General features: G+C 38.1%; 1 protein-coding gene across 2 annotated transcripts in view, besides 1 other annotated feature; it reads left to right on the forward strand.

Moving 5' to 3' along the window:
* Positions 1-22,454, forward strand: part of GAP43 (growth associated protein 43) — a 97,974-nt gene that overhangs the window by 64,895 nt on the left and 10,625 nt on the right. The gene's annotated exons all lie outside the window — the stretch shown is intronic.
* Positions 10,637-11,490: an enhancer, noted in NCBI's record as "NANOG-H3K27ac-H3K4me1 hESC enhancer chr3:115417888-115418741 (GRCh37/hg19 assembly coordinates)". NCBI's record gives its function as "activates a minimal SCP1, AML or CMV promoter by ChIP-STARR-seq in naive H9 embryonic stem cells {active_cell/tissue: H9 hESC(naive)}" and the evidence as "EXISTENCE:reporter gene assay evidence [ECO:0000049][PMID:30033119]".

Below are 22,454 nucleotides of genomic sequence, written 5' to 3' on the forward strand. Positions count from 1 at the left end.
GTGTCAACATAATTGTATAAATAATGCATTCCTTCTGATGGGATACTATTTAAAAAACTCTATCTATACAATTTTGGAATATCCACAAAAATAAGATTTCTAGAAGGTTAAAGGCCGAAATCAGTCTCAAAAATTCTAAAAAATCTGTCGCCTTTCTTTCTCCCACTCCTTAGCCCTAGTGGACGATAGCTGTTTGTGCCTCTGTTGAAGCACGTGCCCCAAAAGGAAACATGCCTGGGCAATGGGGCCAATTCTTATTTAACTCCGCGGACTGACATCCTAAATGCCTCTTCAGTGATTAACATCACAACGTGACACAATTCAGCTGGGTAAAAGGGATAGGTCCCATAATGCCATGCTCACTCCTTATAAATTCAAGTAGACTACTTGAAAAACCACTCATACAAAGCTATGAATTTATACCTGTCCATATCAATGCCCCACAAAAAACCTCCCAATGCTTGCCTACTTTTTGCAATCTGAATACAATCTAACTTACTTCCGCAGCCTAGGAGGCCTCATATGATCTCACGTCTTAGCTTTCTGATCAGATGTCCTTCTGCTCAGCCCTTCTTCCCCATTCTCCAGCCCTAATAGCTTTCTTAAGGTCTCTTGAATGTATACAGCTTGCTCCTGTCCCAGGGCCTTTACACTTGCTTTCTCCCTTGAGCTTCCCATGGTCACCTCTTAGCCCTGGCCTCTTGGCACTCAGGTCTCCATTTGAATGTCCCTTACTCAGACAAGTCTTCCCTGACCATTTGGGCAGAACAGCACTGCACTACCCCTACCAATGCCAACAGTTACATCACATTACCCAGTTTATTTTCTCCGTAGCATTCTTAGTGCCTAAAACGACTGTGTTTATCTGTGTCGTCCTCAGTTTCTCTCCCTCTCAGTAGACTTTTCATTTCTTGAAGGCTGCATGGTAGCCCCAGTGCTCAGAATAGAGCACAGCACATAGAAGGCTCTCAATAGACATCCTCTGACTGGCCAATAATATGGATTGCACCTATGGAGAGATTTCTTTTCATAAACAGCTTGAAAGGGAAAGAACCATTTAATTTTTTAAATTTGAAGCCCCACAAGAAAAGCTAAGAGTTTTTCAGGCAAGTGTCCATCTTTATTGCTTGCAGCCCAGTTCTTTGGAATTTTATACATCAGCAACTTCTTTTCCATGACCCATTTCTAAATATTTCCTAGGCACCCAGACACTCTGAGTCTGAATGAGGATATTTGATTGAGAAGGAAAATTGGTCAGAATGTGAAAAAGGAAGGTGGGCCCTTAGGAGGAACAAGGTGGGGATGTGGATAGAGATTCTTTACTTCCTATAGAGAAAAGGGAGAGTAGGAGGGAAGAATAATGGGGTAGAAAATGGAGAAAAAAGTGGGAGGAAAAAAAGCAGAAGAGGACCAGAAATCGATCAGGGGAGGCAGAAAGAATAAGCAAGGGCAAAGTGGAGAAAGAATAGATGGTAGAAAAGAGAAAGAAGGAATAATAGGCGAGAAAGCAAGAGGTGTGGGAGAAGCAGGGCTGGAGGGGCGCTGAAGAGCAGGGGAAGGCACTGACTGAGCTGAGTACCAAGAGACAGCCGTGGTTTTCTTGTAGCTCTGTTTCTGACAAGCTCTCTGGCCATGGCCAAGGCCAATTTACCTTCCTTGCTGGTAAAAGATGGTTTTATGGGATCTTCCAGCACTAGCGCTCTCTGTTCTTGGCTTCACAAACAGCAGGCCCTAAAGGGTTCCTTGACAAATGGATTTTCTGTCTTTGAGCAGATCTAAGTGGCAGATGGGGCACAGCTCCCCTAGGAGAGACCCCCCCGCCACCCCCTGCCCACCATTGTCTGAGCCCTTCTGCAGCATCAGTCCCCAGCCAGCGCTGCCTCAACAAACCAAGAGACATTGTCTCTGCTTGCTTCCAGACAGGAAAAGAAAAGGATTGAGTTTCATAATCTCACAATTTTAAATGTAGGCCTATTTCCATAAGAAGTTTCAGATTACAAGGCATGTTTCAGAAACATTTTTTTACTTTGAACACCTCATAAAGAGACAGTCTTGGAACTGGACAGTCCTGGGTTCAACCTCAGGTTCCTCACTGCATGGTTTTAATGATTTGTATAACCTTCAGTGTCTTCATCTATAAGATAGAGATTAAAATGTTACCCTTAAACAGTTGTGATGAGGATTTAATGAGGTAACATATTTAAAGAACCAGGTATAGAGTAGGTCCTCAATTATTATCATTTTGCCTAAGTTTTCTTCTGATAATCTGAAATAATCACTTTTGATCCTCATACTCTCCTCTCCCCATATGAAGATCCTCTGGGCAAATCTTTTTTTTTTTTTTCTTTCTTTCTTTTTTTTTTTTTTTTGAGACGGAGTCTCCCTCTGTCGCCCAGGCTGGAGTGCAGTGGTGCAATCTCAGCTCACTGCAAGCTCCGTCTCCCAGGTTCACGCCATTCTCCTGCCTCAGCCTCCTGAGTAGCTGGGACTACAGGCACCCGCCACCATGCCCGGCTAACTTTTTGTATTTTTAGTAGAGATGGGGTTTCACCATGTTAGCTAGGATGGTCTCAATCTCCTGACCTCATGATCCACCCGCCTCGGCCTCCCAAAATCCTGGGATTACAGGCATGAGCCACTGCGCCTGGCCCCCTCTGGGCAAATCTTAAAATTGAAGATGGTAAAAGCATGGATAATCTGTCATCTTCCTACAGGTAAAATAGTGGAAGAAATTACTTCATCCAGCAAATAAAGAGAACAATGGTTTCTTGGTGACCCAAAGTAAAGTATTTCAGAGTACTATTTTGTATTCGAAGTAATACAAAAGACAAATATATTATTCAGTGGATACTGCAACAATAGACAGAATTGCAACAAACATGAATTTAGCCAAATCTCTTGCTTGGAGGCCTGCAGTGGAGGAGAAATATCAGAGCGATCTTGGAATCGGACCTATCTATGTTTGAATCAAAGGTCCAGTCCCTAACCAGCTCTATGCCATTAATTCAGCGTCAGCTTTGTCATTGTGAAATAAAATATCCTCATTGCTGAACTTGGTGGTTGTCGGTATTAAATAGATCATGTGTAAAAGGTGTCTATTATGGTATTTTATTGAACACACAGTAAGTGCCTAATAGAAAGTCACCATTGTTCCTGTTCCTTTCAGCTGAAGCTATTGGGGAACTTTCTTTTTCTTTGGTACTACACCTGATTTTATGAAGGAAATTAACGTGCAAATAGGACATGATTTATGGCCAGCAAGAGAGACACATAATGATTTGCAGTCTCTTTTGGGAGTCAGAGTCTATTCTATTTGGCCTACCTTGTAGCTCAGCAACATTACCAAGTCCTTACATTATCAGTAATGATTGAGCCTGGAAGTCAGCCAAGGTTACCAGGTAGTGATGTTAGGGTTAATTTGGGCTTCATGTAATTTGTCCCTCAGAAACTGCAATCTAGGGATTCAATAGAAAAGGTTGGGATACCTTAAGGGAAATAGCTAACACACTCTTTCCAGGTAGATACCAGCTATAACTTGTCACATCTTGTATTTCAATCCTACAGTCTTAGACCTAAAAGGAAACTTAAAAATTGCCTAAGCCTGGGAACTGGATGGGCTTCAGGAGGGTTCTTTCATCTCCTAAGATTATTTGCAACATGTTATACTGTGTGTGCATACGGATGATATTCTTGGCAAAATGACCTTGTCTTTCATCAGATACTCTACTGGGACCACTGCACAAAAATATTATGATGCACTATGCTTGAACAATCTCCAGGAGAAGTTGTGTGTGCCTGTGTTTTAATGAACGATGAAGCATGTTCTGGGATTCAGTTGCATGGTCTGGCCATGGTCCCACAATGAGTTAGCATCAGAATAGAGGAGATAAACCCAGATATCGCAAGGACTGTATTCTACTGTCATTCAATTAATTTGTACTTATTAATACGTATAATTTCCACACTACACAGGCATTGTGAGGGATGTAGATTATAAAAGTGAATATCTGTTGTCATGGAAGTTACAGTCTGGATGGGGAGAAAAGTAAGGCTCTTAAAAGAAAACAGAAACAAAAAAGACTCAGTACCAGTATAGAACAAAATAAGTCTGTGACTGCTTGCAAACTGCAGTCTGTAGTTGTGGCAAAGGAATTCAGAGACCACGATAGTGGGTAGGGTCTGAAGAAAAGAAATGAGCATTATGATGAAGCATTGGTGAGGATACCGGCCTTAGTAGTTTGTGCCAGTGAGGAGAAGGTAGGGTATGTTGGACCTTGAAGTGGTCGGAAGTTTTCAGTCTTGGTCCAACAGCAAATAGAGGGTGGTTAAAGTTTTTACTTCACCATATTATTTTTGCTCCCAGAATGACTCTGATGTCTCTATGAAGTGTACACAAAGCACAATCCACACTTATGAATTCAGTTCAAAGATATTAATATTATTTCAGCATACCTGTTAAAGTGACTTAACAATCTACTTGTAGACTGAGTTTTTGGTCATATTCGAAGGACCAAAAAATCAAAATTGATTTAGGATTAACTTCAAAATAGGACCCAATCACAATAGTTGTTCCTATTGCACTGCTATGCAGTTTGCCTGGGGTCATTTCTTCCTGGAGAGTGACGCCTGACACGCCTGCCTTCCACTCAGCCTCCACAGCTGGGAACAGAATTACACTGGTGCCCTCTGCTGGGATGAAATGGGAAGTTGATCAGGAAACAATGGTGTCCTCGTCTTTTCAACATAGAGATGGAGGTGGCGATTCCAGGCCCACTGCAGCCTCCAGGCTGGATTCATTTAGTGTTCTCTCCAGGCCTCCCTCTCAGGTGTCTTCTTTGCATCATACCTGAATTTATTAACCAAAGGGAGTAATTGGATTTTTATTGTAAGAAGGTTGTCAGCTAATTTTTAAAAGTAGTCCAAGGAAATGCTGCCCCCTTTCCTCTGACAATTTGAGAGCTGGGCCCTGGTTTCAACACACAGGGCTAGTCATCTTGGGTGGTGGCTTGGCCGTCTTGCTAGAGAACAATACATATTAAGAGCCACGGGGAGACTCTGGGACCATTTAAAAAAATCCTGTTAAATTATTATTATTATTATTATTTATTTTAACGGTGAGGAAAGCACATTGATATTCATTGCTGATTTTCTTGGCTCAAATAAACAGCATTAATGCTATGGTGTTAAATTCAATTTAGAGTGTCTACTCTGGTGTGCCTTTGGTACCCTGCTCAGCTGATTTTTCTGCTAGAGGTGAAAAAACATTCAGTTGTAATTAAGAAAGGGGTGGGGGAGTGCTGAGAAGGAAACCGAAAGAGAGAAGAGTTGTGAAGTCTCATGTGTGCAAATTGGTAATGGACTTCTAAAATAAAATGATGGGGGCTGGGGCGGGGCGGGGCAGGGGAGAGGATGGATTGAAATGATCCTTTCCTGCTCCCCACTTTTATTTTATTTTATTTTGTTTAGGATCAATAATTTGGACATGGAGGTCTGCTGCTGGTTTCCATAACAACCTGGCTTATTGAAAAACTGCAGGCTCCACGAATCCCCAATTATCAGCCTTCCAGGGCTTATTAATGGAGTTGAGCATCCCAGTGAGGCAGGCAGCTCATTGCTGGCACGTGCCCGGTGGGCTGGCGGAGGGTGGAGGAGATGGGAAGAGGAGATGTGTGGTGAGACAGCAGCCATTTGTCCCCGTCACTTGCAGGGGAGGGGGGAGCAGTCATTCAGGAGGCTGTGAGAGCGTCTCTTGAAACCCTGAGTGGCTGCCGCTGCTGTTACAGGCAGCCCAGAAATCGAAGCATAGCTTGTTTTTCCAGCTCCACCCCGAAGCCATCTATCTGGAATAAATCCTTATGAATATATCACAAGCCCTGTATGTCTATTGAGCTTCTATAATTAATCGGGCTTTCCTCACAAAGACAATGGTGACTCTATATTTCTAATATTAACTCAAGCCTTAATTAAAATGTGAAGCCAACCTAATGCATATTTGATAGCTTTGAATTACTCAGTCTTTGGTCTGGCTTCACTTATTAGGCCCTCGCCATAGAATAATTACAATAGCAACAATAATACCGATGATGATCAAAATACAGATAACATTTACTTATCTTGTGCCAGGCTTTCTGCTAAAAGCTCCACATGGAGTTTCTTGTTTAAGCTTCACAATGATCCTATGATGAGGGATATCACTGTCCCTTTTTTACAAATGAGGAAACAGAAGCAAGAGAACTTAAATGACTTATCTTAGGCCACAGGGCTAGTGAGTATATCAGAGTCTCATTTCTGCTCCCTTTCCATAATTATTTTTTATTTTTCAACATGCGTATCCTCAAGATAGAAAAGGAACAGCACATTTACAGTAAATTTTGTGCTATCCAGTGTTAATTGGGGAATGAAACATTCTGGTTTATCAAATATTTTGATTAATAATTGCTATTCATGTCATGATTGGGTTTCCAATGGGAAAGATCTGGGATATAATAAAACATACACAACATTAGAAGTATAGTAATCATTGTCATAAAATGCTTCAGGATCATTATACAAATGCGACTTTTTATTGTAGTGCAGAAGTGTTAGTTGATAAAGACTTCTGTTTGACAAAATGCCAGTTGAACTGTTTTTATAGCATGGAAATATCAGTGCCTTAACACTTTTGAATATTGTAGATTTCAAAGTGCTTTACATAAACTACCACAGAAGTTCAATGTGATCAGAAAAGAAAAATTTTAGGATCTTTCAGAGTTAAAGAATATTAGTGCTTGGAAAACCTTAAATGCATTAAATACTCTGGATCCTTAGACTATGCTTTTTAAAACTGGAACCTTAGACTAACTGGGAAATGGAATGTGACACACCCTTGAGGTGGTTCAATGCAAGTCTGTCATCAAGCACTGTTAAAATAGATCAACATTTCCAGAAATTTCATCACAGTTGCTCAAATAACATTTATTATTAGTTTAGTCTCCAGAAGTGAAAATAGAACTTGTTTCCAAGGACCCCAACTTTTTAAGAATTAAGAGAAGTGACAATATGGATTGTTTGTTTTATTTAATACTTAGTGAGCATATAATCTAAGCATTTTACATGTGTCATCCATACACAGCAACCCTATGAGGTAAGAACTCCCCCGTTTATAGATGGAGAAATCAAAGTACAGAGAACACATAACATGCCTGAGGTATCACATTTGGGAAACACATTCAAAGTCAGGCAGTCTAGCTCCTGAGTCTGTGTTCTCAACCAGAGTTGTCTATACTCTCTCCAATTTGTTTCTTCCTATTCTGCGTTTAATCCACAACAATCACATCTACCTCCTACCCACTCCCCAAACTCCCCATCCAGTGAAACAACTTTAGCCAAACTCACAAACGACCTCCACATCGCCAAAACCCAATGGCCAATTCTAAGGCCTCATCTTCTTTTACCTATTAACAGCATCGCAGAGTTGATCACTTTCTACTCTTTGAAACACTTTCATGATTGCTCGTCCAGGATGTTGCCTATTCTGATTATTTTTGCCAACCTACTGGCTAGTCCCATTCAGTTTCATTTGCCCTTCCTTCTTTATTTCCCTGATTTGAAATGTTGAGTTACCCCACAGCTAAGTTCTTGGATGTCTTCTCCTCTTTTCTCTTCTACATTCTCTCTCTCTCTCTTTTTTTATTTACATTTATGACTTTGGTGATCTCTCTGAGCTCATCTATAGCCCGGACCTCTCTCCCCACTCCAGACAATTGCTTACTCTACATCTCAACTTGGATATCTAATAGATACCTCAAATTAAATCTCTTGAAAACCAAACTTCTGTCTTTTTTTTCTGAACTTACTCCTTCTCCCGTCTTTCTCATCTCAGGAAATGACAAGTCCATCATTTCCTGATACTTAGGCCATATGCCTTAAAATTATTCCTTTTTTTCTTTTCCTTTGACAACATTAAATCTATGAGCAAGTCTTATTGGCTCCACCTTCAACATATATCCAGAATCTCAGCACATCTCACTTTTTCTAGCACCCATCTCACTTCAGCAAAAGTCAAGTCCTTAAAGTGGCCTCAAAGCTCCATGTTCTCAGCATATCCACTAGGTCACCACTTGGATTTCCTCTCCTGTTACTCTCCATTTCTTGGTCCTTTCTAGCAATACTGATTTCCTTGCTGCCCCCCACCGCCCCCCCCCCCCACAAACAGGTATGCTCATATGCAGGGAATTTGCAACTTACTGTTCCCTCTGCCTCAAAACCTCCCTCCTCTAGAAATTTATAGAGTTCACTCTCTAACCATCTTCAGCTCTCCGTTCAGATATCACCTTCTCAAAGCAACTTTCTCTTCGTTTAATATTGTCACCCCAACCTCATCCCAGCATTTCCCCTTCTCTTTCCCAGTTTTGTTATTTTCAGTAATTTTTGTTTGTTGGTTAGTTTTGTTTGTTTGTTTGATTTTAGACAGAGTCCCACCATTGTTGCCCAGGCTAGAGTGTAGTGGTGCAATCTCAGCTCACTGCAACCTCCACCTCCTGGGTTCAAGTGATTCTCCTGCCTTAGCCTCCTGAGTAGCAGGCACTACAGGCGCCCACCACACCCGGCTAAATTTTGTAATTTTGTATTTTTGTATTTAGATGGGGCTCCACCATATTGGTCAGGATGGTCTCAAACTCCTGACCTCAAGTGATCCACCCACCTCGGCCTCCCAAAGTGCTGGGATTACAGGCATGAGCCACCACACCCAGCCAATTTTGTTATTTTCATGGTGCTTACTGCCTTCTAATATATTATACATTACATTTATTTATTTATAATAATAAACTTCATGAAGACAGGGTATTTTTTGTTTTATTATTATTTCGTACACTGTGGTATTCTCAGCAACTGGAACAAGCAGTAAATGCTCAATAAATATCAATTCATTCAATGAGTGAAGAAGATACCAAGCACATGTATTAAACAGGCAGTTCTAAAGGAACTTCCTCTCCGCCACCTAAGCACATGTTTCCTCACCGTCCTTTGTCCCTGTACATTCTTTGGTGACTCATAGAGTTCTCACATGTAATGCCATCCTCCTAATGACCGGAAGATGATGGCCGCTGGACAGCAACTATAACTGGGTTGTGTCTGTGGCATCAGGGCACTGGCCCCTTGTTTTAGCCTCACTGCTTCACAAGCCCTCCTTACATGGAGTCCATGCCACAGGGAGGAAATTGTTTCATCTTTCAATGCAAAGGATATAGCTCTAAAAGCAGAGAACCATTTTAGCAAATTCAAAACCACTGGGAATTCTGCCCAGACTGGAAATAGATGGCAAAACACACTTTTGCTTAGAAGTGAGCTGCCTTTCTTTCATGTTGAATCATCAAATCAAAGTCATAGAAACTTTAATGTCTAACAAAGAGTCTCTGGCAGATTAAAATTTTCCACTTATAAATTATAGTTAACTCAGCATTTAGCTATTAGTAACCCTTTTGTAGTATGTTAAATTTGCTTACATATTGATTATAACTCAATGTGATTGGAACGTTTTCCCATGCGGGAGCATTTCTTCAAAGGAACCACTGCATAAAAATTCACAGAGTACATGTGCGTGTGTGTGTGTGTGTGTGTGTGTGTATAAAATATATAACATGTATATAAAATATATATTATATATTATATAAAATATATATTATATATAATATATAAAATATGTATTATATATAATATATAAAATATATAATATATATTATATATAATATATATAATATATATTATATATAATATATAAAATATATTAAATAATATATATATTAAATATATATTATATATTATATAAAATATATAATATATAATATATATAAAATATATATAATATATAATATATATAAAATATATATTATATATAAATATAATATATATATTATATATAAAATATATATAATATATATATATAAAACCAGTTCTGTCGGTCATGATCAGAGTCCAAGGATTAAGTCTCATATCATCTATTAGCTTTGCACAATTAGAAAATAGTTTTGTGACTCAGATTACTCCAATAAAACCAGTAGGTCTTCTCTTAAGATTCTAACTGTGGTTGGTAAGAATAAATGCAGAACACTGTGAGACAAACAAATCTAATTCATACAGCTGTAGACAATCTTTGGTGAGAAAAGGCTGCTTATGTCTGTGGGGCTATGTTTGTATGTGGTGGAACTTGGAAAGTGGAGTGGAAAAGTGTGGGTAGAGGATGGAAATGAGCACATACTTAGGTGACAAGAGAGATGAGGGTGTGGGGGTGTCAGTGCTACCTGAAAAATCCCAATCCCAAAGGAAAGTGGGAAGGGACCAGGGTGACAGCAAGCAACTATAAAACTTTAAAATCTATGGACCAGAACCCCTGATAATAGGAATCTGTTTATAAGTTAGATAACAAAATATGGTTGTACATATAATGACTTGGCCCTAAACTGGTAATCCTTCATTTCTTACTCATAGCCTCAGCATTCCCACCACCATCCTCCATTGTTGGAACAGCTGCCCAACCCTTACGTATGACAACAGAAAATGGGAGGAGCAGGAAGGCAGGACACCTAAGGCATAAAGGGCTGTGTTTCATCTTTACTGCTGATTCCTTGTAAAAGCGGCAGCCATTCTCGTGGATTGGAATTCCCTGCTTCTGATCTTATGTGGACAATTGTTGATTGTGTCTGTCTACCATGGAAAGATTTGGTTTACTGAGGAAGTACTTTGGCATTGGCAGGAGGTTGATGAGAATACAATCATTCTACCTCCGCTATTCATCTTGAGCATCCTGCATCCTGACACCTGCTGAGTAAGACAGATTTGTACCTTGTCACCACATGTGTGAAGTGCACGTGAGAAACAGTAACAGGGTTAATGCCACTCTCTTACAAAGAGAATTTTGTTTTCACTTGTTCTCTCCCATATTGCTCTAACACCCTCTGTGCCATCGTTCCCAACCTTCCTTCCTCTTCCCCCACCACTACGCACCCACCCAGATCTCCTGAGAGTCGTTACTACTCAGCCCATCAGCCAAAGTTAGTGGGTTTCCATGGTAACCAGGCAGCTGGTGTCTAGACACTCTGAGAGAGATGCCTTGCAATTGAGCTGCAAATCTAGCTTCTATCAAACACCCCCTCTCTTCCCTCCTCCTCTTTCCTCCCATTTCCTTTTTATTTACAGCAGGCATTAATACCAACACTGAATGGAGTTTCCTTTTGACAGGCCATTAAAGGAAGAGGGGGATGAGAGAGGGTGAAAACCCCCAACTTGCTGTCTTGTCATATCAGTGCAGTGAGAAGACAACCGAGGTGACAGACTCTGATCTGGTTTGCTCTTTCTTCTTTAAGAAGGATTTTATTTAATTAAAATATTTTAAATTAGGAAACAGTGCCACTAGTCTATTGGGAGTCATATGCATCTTTAAGAGCCAGTAAAAGCATTTTCAGGATAGAGCTTGAGCTGATGGCACTGGGTTGAGGTAAAATTTTTTTCACAGTGTCTGGGCAATCAATGTAATTTCTCTTTCTATGATGCTCAGGGGAATTACATGCCTGTAGTATTACTAGACAGGAAACTATGCAGTGGGATACAGGCAAGTATAAGAAAGGGCCTTAAATGACACCTCAGATCTGGAAAAGTCAAGTTTAACTGTTCCTTATTTGTCTCAAGAAAGAGAAAAGCAGCTTCTGACAGCCAGGAGCTGGCCTGGAGCTCACAAGTTAGCCTTAGTGTTCTGTTAATATAAACAACTTTGCAGAACACCAACATCAGACAAGGGCACTTTGTGTGATGGATCAGGACAAAACAAGACCACCATAATAATCATGTCTGAACGCAGACTAAATATGCACATTGTCCAAACCATAAAATGTCTGAATATTTCCTCAGCCTGGCCAATATGAATAATGATGCTTACTTTATTCCTCCCTCTTCCTAGATGATATTTATTGAGATGCCTAAAAATAAAATTACGCCTGTTTTGTGACAGCATTCCAATCCAGAGCAAAGTTCTGTTTCCCTAAAACCACCTCCAAATCACCTAACACCTGCCCAAATAAAGCCCTTTCTAGTCCCTTCTTGTGAGACACCTCATGATTCTCCATAGCATAGAGTCTTCCTAGCTGTAACATGTAAATAAACCCACCTTTGCTCAACTATATGTGTGTTCCTTTTAGTCTTGGCTGTAAGTGGTTGATGCTCCATAGAATTTCTCTCTATATTATTATGTACACTGAAGTTAACTTCAGTGAAAAAGTCTTTTTCTTATTTTCTCCCACATCTAAATATTTTCTATGCCATCTTTACCCCAAATTTATTGCTACACTTTCCTGAATTCACTAATTCTCCCTCTGAAATCTCATAAAAACCTAATGTAGGAAACAAAATTAACTCTATTTTTTCTATCTGTAGTATTTTCACATTTTTGATCTCAGTAATTACACAGGATGCCTCAGGGCACAGATGAGTTTATAATTATCTTTACTACTCATTGAGAAATTTATTACCTGAATTAGCAGTGATGACAAGGACATGTAGATCAGACTGACAGCAGACATCAAACATGACCCAGTCAAATGACAGTAAGACTATGACAAAATGTTTAAATTTAGTACACTTTCCCTTAAATCCCAAGGAAAGCTATGTTCCCTGTTTCAGACTAAAGGGTGTCAGATAATTTGTTGGGGCAGCAACCATCTCCTCTCCCGTTCATATTATGATCTGTCAGCTTTAAGTGACTATTTTAGCTACCACTATCCACAACAGAGAAGAAGTTTGGAAGAGGTCTACCTTGGGAACAGAATGATATGTTAAGATATGACTCTATTCGTTCTGATATTAGTATCTTCTCTGCCACCCCCTGAAATGCCAGTTTGGTGTACTGTCATATATCCTCTGAGCCCCTCTGTGAGATCACTCACCACTCACCATCTCTCTTTCAGGTGAGTTCTGTACCTGGCTGTGGAATCAGTATCATTGTTATTCCGGGGGTAGGGTCATTTAAAGAGCCCTACACACAATTGGCTCACCACCAAGTCAAATGGTACCCACCAATAATTGGTTTCTTACTTGGGAACAGTTCCATTAACTAGACTTCTGCTTGGTTTACATTACCTACATTCCTATCTTATCTCTTTTAGATTCTGGTTTCTCCAAGACTAAGGCCTAGCCTTATTCTCATCTATTCTCTTGGAGATGGTAATCTTGTTCTTGGACCTATAATTAGGAGGCTGTATTGTTGGCTGACAGATTTCCCCAAATGTCCATGGTTGATTTACATTGGACTTTTTTAGTTGCTGTGTTCTACCAACCTCCAATGTTTGTTTACTACTTCTGCTGTTGACCTTCTATTTTACTGTTTCCCATAATCATAAGCCTCAGACATTCCACCCCGCCAACCTGTCCTTCCTCCCATTGGCTATTACTGGTTCCATGCCCAAATTGTAGTAGTATTGCTAGATTCAATTCTCTTTGAGTCTGATATATTTAACATCAATTGTATTAGTACAGTTCCTATTTTTAAATCTTTTCTTTCCATTTCTTGGCCTCAGTTAGAGAGATGTGCTTCTGAGAAAGAAGAATCAACAGATACAGGTGCATTTGGGAGAGAGGGTTTTAAATTTGAATCACTGAGAGAATGTTAAGGCCAATCTGGTTACACTTGTAGAGATAATGGTCAGGTGATGTCTCAGATAAAGACATAGGATTGGAGCCAGGAATGGAGTCAAGATTGTACTTACTTGGGAAGTAAGAATTTGGAATTTAAGAATTTAAGAAGTTGGAAGTAGAACTTGGAATTTGATGGATATGAACAAGGAGTTAAGATTTCATGATAAAGAAAGTAATATGCTTACAGTGATCTTTAAGGATTAATGATAAGACAGTGGTAATATAAATCAGGTGGTTACCTGGATAGAGGTCAGGATTGAAGTCATTAGAGGGAATGAGTTTTCTGATACAGAGTCTACAAGGATAATATTGACTTGAATCTTGGATTGAGGTCATGTTAGGGGACAGAAAGAAAAAAACTAGACCCAGAATGGCAAAAGAAAAGCTAGAAAACAGCAGAAATAAATCCAGAATATACTGCTCATTGAAGCTAAGAAAAAGGAATATTTTAAGAAGGTGTCAAAGCCAAAATGCACCAACAGTTAAGGAGATGATTTTACTTAATCTGTTGCAAGAGACTCCAGATCTCAAGATCATGTCTTGGCAGGGTGGTTTTCCATTAGACTTTTATAGGAAGGAGTAGACAAGTTATAGGTCAGGTAATTTTGTGTTGTTTTGCAATCAGGGGAAGTCCAGTCAACTAAACAGGATTTGTTTCTCTGTGTGTGTAGCTCCTTTCAAAGGAAAAAATTCTAATCTCAGCTAAACATCCATGAGACAAAGAATGGAAAGTTAAGAGTATCTGTATCTATTTTTGTCAGCAGTTTCAGGCAAAAGGGGAAAGGTCTATATTTGCCCTTGTTACAGGTAAAGAAGGGGATCATCTCTGAGTCTTACGGGAGTCCTGAGAAAGAGTTGACGCAAGTCATATGGAGAAGAGTGTTCTTCAAGGTTAGCCATTTCCTGGAGTACAAAAAGATGTGGGAGATTTAAGAAAGCAAAAGGCTAAGGAACTTTCCTAATTGTTGATGTTTTCTGGAGTACAGTGCTCAGGTAAAGGTCAACAGTCAAAATAAAGAGTACTTAAGGAAAGATAAAGAACAATGGTAAATGAGAAAAGGCCTTAGGATTGGGAATATGTATATTTATGAAATCAAGGAGAACACTGTTATTAAAAACAGTAAAGCTAAAATTCAGTTCACAGAGAAATAAGGAAGGTGAGGAAAAGATGGCACAATTCCAGTTTATTTTTTAGTGAAGTTTTATGATTGAAGAGGAAAATAAGATGTTTGTAACTTTATGAGGAAAGAGGCTATTTTTGCCTTTTTGAAGGGCTATCATGTGCCAGAGAATATATTTGAGATATATTTGTTCTGTGTTATTCCAGAAGACAGAACTCCATAGAAACTTAGAGGGAGTAGATTTCAGCTGAGTATCTGGAATAATTTACAGAAGAGCTGGAATGCCTGTTAAAGTAGAGGCTGTCCCTCTGCCTGGGGTATCATAGGGGATTCCTGCATTAGGTGGGGAAATGCTAGAGGATCTCCACAGCCTCTTTCTACTCTGAAGTTTCTGTATGTATTCTGATTGCTTTCAAATAAATAGGATTTTGAAATAAGGTAGATAATAAATAGGAGGCAGTTTTAGATGTAAAGTATGTCTTGGAAAATGGCTTTATTGGAGAGAAAAAAACATTGGGTTCAGAAAAGTGAGGCATGATTTTTCAAATGGCTGTATTATATGATAGGCAGAGCGTACATGACTCTATAGAGCTATCCTCTAAAAACACGGACTCTCCGTGACTCTTTGTTCTTTAACTGTTTATTGTTATAGTGTTCCCAAATAGTCAAATCTATAACATTCTTTGCCACTAAAAATAAGTAAACAGCTTGGAGATCTTTGACTGAAAAATAAAAAATCAGTACAAATACTAATATCACTTTTTCAATATAGTTCTGGTTGTGTTCCAGTGAGTGCTATTGATTCCTAAAGTGATTTTTTACTCAAAAGCAGCACCATAATTTGACAGGCCCCAGGAAGCCAAGGCACACAATGACTGCAAAATGAGTTGTCCCAGTAAGAGATGGAGATTGCATTTATTTACACACATGCAAGTATATAATGCAAGGCTTTTTTGTTATAACAATATTTTAAAAATTAACTCCCAAACTGAGTTAAATCTTCACAGTTGGCTTTTTAACATTCTGCTGGCACTGGAGGTGAAGGGGGTGATAGATGGGAGGAATTATCTACACTTTTATTTCCTCTTCCTCAGGATAGTGCAACGATCTCTTAAATTCTTAGATATGATAGCATTTGTAGTAATTTTAGCTATCTCTGGATTTTCATTCTCCAGTAACTCTTATGCCATTTTGCCTATGAAGCCTACCATAATCAAATGCTAACTATTCAACCTTAGTTACTAATTTTAGAGGTCTCCACTTATTTTCTTTCTGCATAAAATATCCACTTCACCTCCCGCAATTTGAACATAACATGTTAGAATTTGATAAAACAGTAATCCTCAGCCATGATTCTGCAAGCCTCCAGAGTATCTAAAATTACTTTTGGTAGGCCTTAAAGCAAAATTATATTGAATTACCTTGCATTTCTCAAACAAAAATAGCAATGGAGGGAAGGAAGAAAGAAGGGAGAGAGGATTAGAGTAATACAGTACATTTAGGACTCTGGGAAGAGATGCAAGTTAAAATCAAGCAGATTTTACTCATTCCCCAAGGCTATGAAAGGCAATATGATCTAATGGAGGATCGCTGAATTCTAATTAGCTGTGTGTCTTTGGACAAGTCACAAAAACTCTTCATCTTTAGCTTTTCTCATAGAGAATAAGGAACTGAAATCAGATCATCTCTAAGGTCTCCTTCAGCTTCTGTTACTTTGTAATTTCATGAACAACTACAAGCTGAGTCTGTGACGGTATATACAGATTTTGTATTTTTGTCCTGATTTATGTGGCTTAGCCATTTGCTTTGATAAAATTAACAAGACAACTGCCAAGTCTCTAGTTTACTTTGTGCTGTGTAGATACAGCCATAAGGGAAAATTAAACAACAAAGATAAATAATTGTCTGGCTAATCTCAAGTACTACCCAAACACATCATGCCGAACCACGGCAAGGCATGAGCTGAATGAATATGACTCATAAATGCAGTGCTTTTATTTAAAAATTTAAATGTTACCCAAGCAGTAGATATAAATAGGAAATATTTTTAGGCAGCTGTAGTCACTATTGGTGTCATTCTTACAGAGCTAAAATTATGTCTGGCTTTAGTTTCTGTATTTTAACCCTGGTGTCAGATAATTAAATCATTTAATCAAATATCAGATCATGGGATTTGGCAAACCTAGATCTGCTTTTGCTTTTAAAGGTAAATATTGGAAATACCAACTTTATAATAAGGAATATTAACTCATCATATATTAAAACATTTAAAATCATTTATTGAATTTTTAAATGGAAATCAGTATAACTGAAAGATAGTTGGTTAACTTTCTCAAAGTCTGGCAGGCAGGAATTACTACAGTAACACTTTTATGATTGATCTCATTAGATGAGATCTAGGGTGACATTGTTGAAAATAATGGGTATAATAGAAATACCAAAACATAAAAAACCCAAACTTTTGAAAAGGCCGGTACAATGCCTAAGCAATCATTCAATGAATATGAAAAACTGAGAAGGAAAAGCTAAGAAAGTAGATTCAATAAAAAATTACCAACAAACATGATTAGCCTGTTTAATTTTTCCTCACCTCTTAAGTATGGACCTAAATAATTAACATCAAATACACGAGGTATAATTTTTTGAAAATTATTAACTTCCTCCAAAATGCAGCAGGAGGAATTGTAGAAAATCCTTCGTGGAGGGTGGAGGTCGGTGCTAACTTCAATCATGTTTGAACAAGATTCCAAAAGAAGTATGACGTCTCTTTGCCTAGAAAACTTTCAAGAGAACAGCCACTTCCTACCCCATTCTGATTCCTTATTCTTCAAAGTCTGCTGGGATTCCCTATTTGAGAACGCCCAGAAACGAGAGTGTTTTGCATAAGTAGAAAGAAGAACCCCATCAGCGCAGTCTTCTCAAAGGATTTTTCCTTCATCATATGCCTGTCCCCAAATAACTTCAGTACTTCCTGGAAATGAGAACTTTCTCACAAAAAAAGCTGAAAAATCTCATTGCATCTTACCGTTTTCCTGAAACTTAAGGAATCAATTATTAAAAAGAAGTCTTAGGGTCCTTTTCAAGTATAGGATTCCAGCATTATGATTAAACAAGGGAATTTTTCTTGAAGTTGGATGGAGTGTCTTAAGCCTGGAGAATTGCCATCCTCTCTGTAACTTGCCTATTGGATGCAAGATTTACTACCCAGCTGGGGGGTAGGCTGTGACTTGGCCTTTTACTCATTCAGTATGGTAAACATAGTTTTTCTACAAATGAAGCTAGCTCAAAGATAAGGTTTTTGTTTGTTTAATCAACTGGCTGCTATTCTTTAGATGTGAAATAGAGAAGGCTGTTCTGCTTTGAAATACCATCGATATCAGAAAGGTCTTTGCCCTTGAAGGCATTACTGCTTAGTAGCCTTGATTCTTGTATTACTGAATCATGACTTCTCTTCTTTGCTGCCCTTCAAGTTTGGCCGATGGTCACCTTTGCCTTTGTGATCATTTTTGGACTTTGGTCTCTGACTTCAAAGCCGTTTTCAAAAAACTATTCTTTTTTTCACTCCACAAGCAGAAACTTTACAAGTCAGAGACTCTTCTCTTTCTTTGTCAGGATATTTGAAGACAGTTTCTCTTTGGCTGTGAGTTATGATTGGATAAGCATAAGTTAGAAGAGAAAAGGTTGAAGATAACTCATTTATTAGGCATTCATGTGAGCAAAGAAGTGGCATTTTAAAATGTTTATTGTCATTTAATGTTCATCACAAATTTATGAGGTAGATATTATTATTCCTATTTTACTTATGAAGAAATGGAAAAGCAGCAAAGATACATTTTGATTACCTATATGTGAAACCTCTTGGCACAATGCTTGGCACATAGTAAACATTAATCAATGTTAGGTCCCTTCTAGTCATATTATAATGGCCAACACTTATAAGCGCTTACTTAAATATGTCATTTATTGATATGGACTTTAAATGAACACATTTAATTGTCATAACAACCCCATGAGGTGGGTACCAATATTATGAAAAATTAGGCAGTGAGAGGTTAAGTAATTTACTCAAGGTCATAGTGTCAGAAGTAGAATTTATTTATTTGTTTGTTTGTTATTTATTTGTTTCTATTTGAGGCAGGCTCTTGCTCTGTCACCAAGGCTGGAGTGCAGTGGCTCACTGCAGCCTTGACCTCCCAGGCTCAAGTGATCCTCTCACCTCAGCCTCCCAAGTAGCTGGGATGACAGGTACATGCCACCATGCCCAGCTAATTTTTTTAATTATTTGTAGAGGCTGAGTCTCCCTATGTTGCCTAGGTTGGTCTTGAACTCCTGGGCTCAAGTGATCCTCCTACCTCAGCCTCCCAAAGTGCTGAGATTACAGGCATCAGCCACTGCACTCAGCCTGAGAGACAGAATTTAAATGTAAACACTCTGGCTCTAGAATCAACTCTCTTAACTACTACTTTGCGCATCTAAAAATAGTTATGCTTATAGTAGATATCTATTTCTTACTTTTTCTTTATATATGAAGACTTGGTTATAAAATTAGAAGATAGGTATAAAATTAAAGTTAGCAAAAAAATGGAGAATGATGGGATAATGATTTTCATGGCTATGAAACAGAATAGCATTGGGGTTCCTTTTTATAATCCAATATTTTTAAATTTACAAACTTTTGCTATTTCCTTTGATCATGGTAACATTATAGGACCACAGGTTTTCTTCCCGAGGTAATTGAGGTGACTTTAATTACTTTGGTGACATCTACATGTCACAAAGCATTCAAGATATATATATCGGGATACACACACACACACACACACACACATATATATATACACACACACACATATATACCAAGTATCTAGAAACATACTTTCCAGGCATGTTTCTAGGTACTTGGTATTCACTGGTGAACAAAATAAAAGAAATCTCTGCTTTTGTGGAGTTAAAACACCAACAAATGTATACTTTTCTTTTGAGAAGTTAGTCCACAGTCAACTGAAGAAGACTAAAAAGATACCACAAACTATGATATAATGCAAGGCATATAACTTCCATATGAGAATGAAGTGATGAATTCTGTTTAGTGTAAGTTTGGAGGTTGAAAATGTAGTTGAGCTGGGTCATAGGAATTATAAGCAGTAAATCCAAATGAGTCAAACTTGAAGATTTACTACATCCTTCACTGATATCATTGGCTGGTCTGCCTCCCAACTCCAGTTTTTAATTTTTGGTTAAAGAGCTATCTTTGGTCCAGATCTCCATAATCAAAGTCCAAGAAGGGAATTCTTGTGCATATAATTTATTGGTGCAAACTTATAAGAGAGTGAGAGAAAAGAGGATAGAGCAGAGGAAGATACCAGGCAAAGACGAGAGTTCAGGGGAAATGTCTCAGCCTGATCCAACAGAGAGCTCTGAAGCACAAACTGCACCATAGAGGTTGTTTTGTCCAAAAGCAAGGGTACTGGAGTGGAGTCATGGTAGGCAGAGGGGCATGACCCCTCAGGAACCAGGTTGAGGTGGCTCCTATTTTCTATACCTTACCCAAGTGGCAGGTGGGGCTGTTAGCAGCCAACACCTCTGGCAGCTGGGGGATGGGAGCATGGACCTGGTAAAGAAGATCTGAGAGGGGCACCAACAGCATCTACTACAAGGAATGTAGGACATCTGAAAGGCACGTGGAGAGATGTAGAGTTGTAGAATATTTGAGTGGCAAGTGAGGGAACAGATGATATTGACAACTGGCTGGGTTTTTTTTTTTTTTTTTTTTTTTTGCTATCTCTTTTTGCTTTGGTGGGACATTTATAAAATCTGAAATAGGTATTATTTATTTTTACTTCACTGAAAAATCTTAAATGCTAGTAGTTTAAATTTAGTAAAATAGAAAAAGCAGCACTGTCATTCAGAACCCCAGATTTAAAGTTAGTTCTTGTAGGCAAGTATGAGACTGCCTTTTATTTTGATTAGTTTTGATTAATGGGAACCTCTTTCATTTTAAGTCAGAGTCCACAAATTTACATGTCTTACTCCAGACGCCCTGCCTCCTCTTGCTTTTGCAGCGAGAGTTCTTTAGCATTTTTTAATGCCTTTAGGCAAAACCTGCACTCTCCAGTTCCCCACAGACCCCACTGCCAATTTTACCCTTGGCCAGATTTTCACATTAATGTTGTTTGCCTGGCCTCTTAGGCAATTGAGTTTGCAAAGGCTGGAGGCTGAAATCCCAGCTCAGATTTTCACCTAGCTGGGATTCTTCTCAACTGGGATCCTGTGGAGTGAAACGGGGAGATGTAGAATTGAAATTACTGATGTGTTTCTTGTAAACTTCTTTTCAGAGTGTTAAACACATACAATTAACATTGACTTCCTAGAATTAAAGGTTAGTAAATTGATCGTGTTCTAAAACAATAACATAAATTTGCTTATTTCACTCTAAGGCCTATGTCAAAGAATATATGCTAATGAACCAAATCATAAAGCACTTTTTCATTTTCAAGGTGATGTACAAACATTGACTAAGTAGCTTTTTAAAATGCTAATATGAAAAAAGGTTATTACTGGATAATCAGTCATATTGTAACTGTCCTTTATAGCACTTTAAAGTCTCAAATGGCATTCTTAATTTTTACTGCATTTTGCAAGTATACATGAACATACATATATATATATATATATATACACACACATGAGCAATTGATTTTAATGTTAATTTTAAACATATGTTTTCAAGCTTTTCCAGTTTATGGCTCGATAACTTTTTCACGGCACCCCTAAACCTCTGCTTATTAGACAGTTAGGTTCAAGGAGCTTAATAATAGTATATTGCACAGTATCCAACAGATAGTTTCTCTCAAATTTCAAAATATATATTGGCACTCCTGTGAGTTCACTGTAGCACCCACGGATTCATGTGTATGGTTTGAGAACTACAATTTAAAGTGCTGATTCACTATAATGTGCCAAGCAGTGTAGATAACTTATGGTTACCATAGAAATTGAAAGTTTCCCAAAAGTTTGCTTTCTGGGAAATCACATTCTAAGTCAACCTAGAAAAATTATTCACCTACTCTTTTTTTTTTTGTCTGTAGATATCATAGGCTATACCTTGACCTAGTTTTTACTGTGAAAATTGAGAAGTTTGAACTGAGTGAAATAAGTGTTAAAATCAAATTTTGTTTGGAGATAATTTAGATATTTTAACTCAAATATTTAAAACACGTTTATTTTAAACCTGATTAAAACTGATTTATGGAGTTTTTAAAGAGGGAGAATAACAAAATCTTTTTCTGATTCATTGATCAGTATAAAAAAGCACTGCTATAGTTGAATATCAGTGACATGGTTCTGCTTATTCCAGTTTTTGTTTTATAATTTGGTTTAGTTCAAATCTCTGAGAAATCCACTAAAAATTGTTTTGAACCAAATTTTCAGGATGTATAAATTGTTTTTATTGAGACCAATTAGCTCTTCAATCTCTTGCTTGTGTCCATGGTTAGAGTTCATAGCAAAAAAATTTCATTATTTAATGTCCCTTCACAGTGAAAACTGGGTAAAAAAAATAGTTAATAATAAAATTCTGTTAAAAATGAAGCCTCCCAAAGTGAAACTTAGGTTTTATGATTTTTGTCCACTCAAATTATTTAAGAACATAGCCTATTTTTTTTCCTTCTT

Source organism: Homo sapiens, chromosome 3, assembly GCF_000001405.40.
Source record: "Homo sapiens chromosome 3, GRCh38.p14 Primary Assembly".
NCBI lineage: Eukaryota > Metazoa > Chordata > Mammalia > Primates > Hominidae > Homo > Homo sapiens.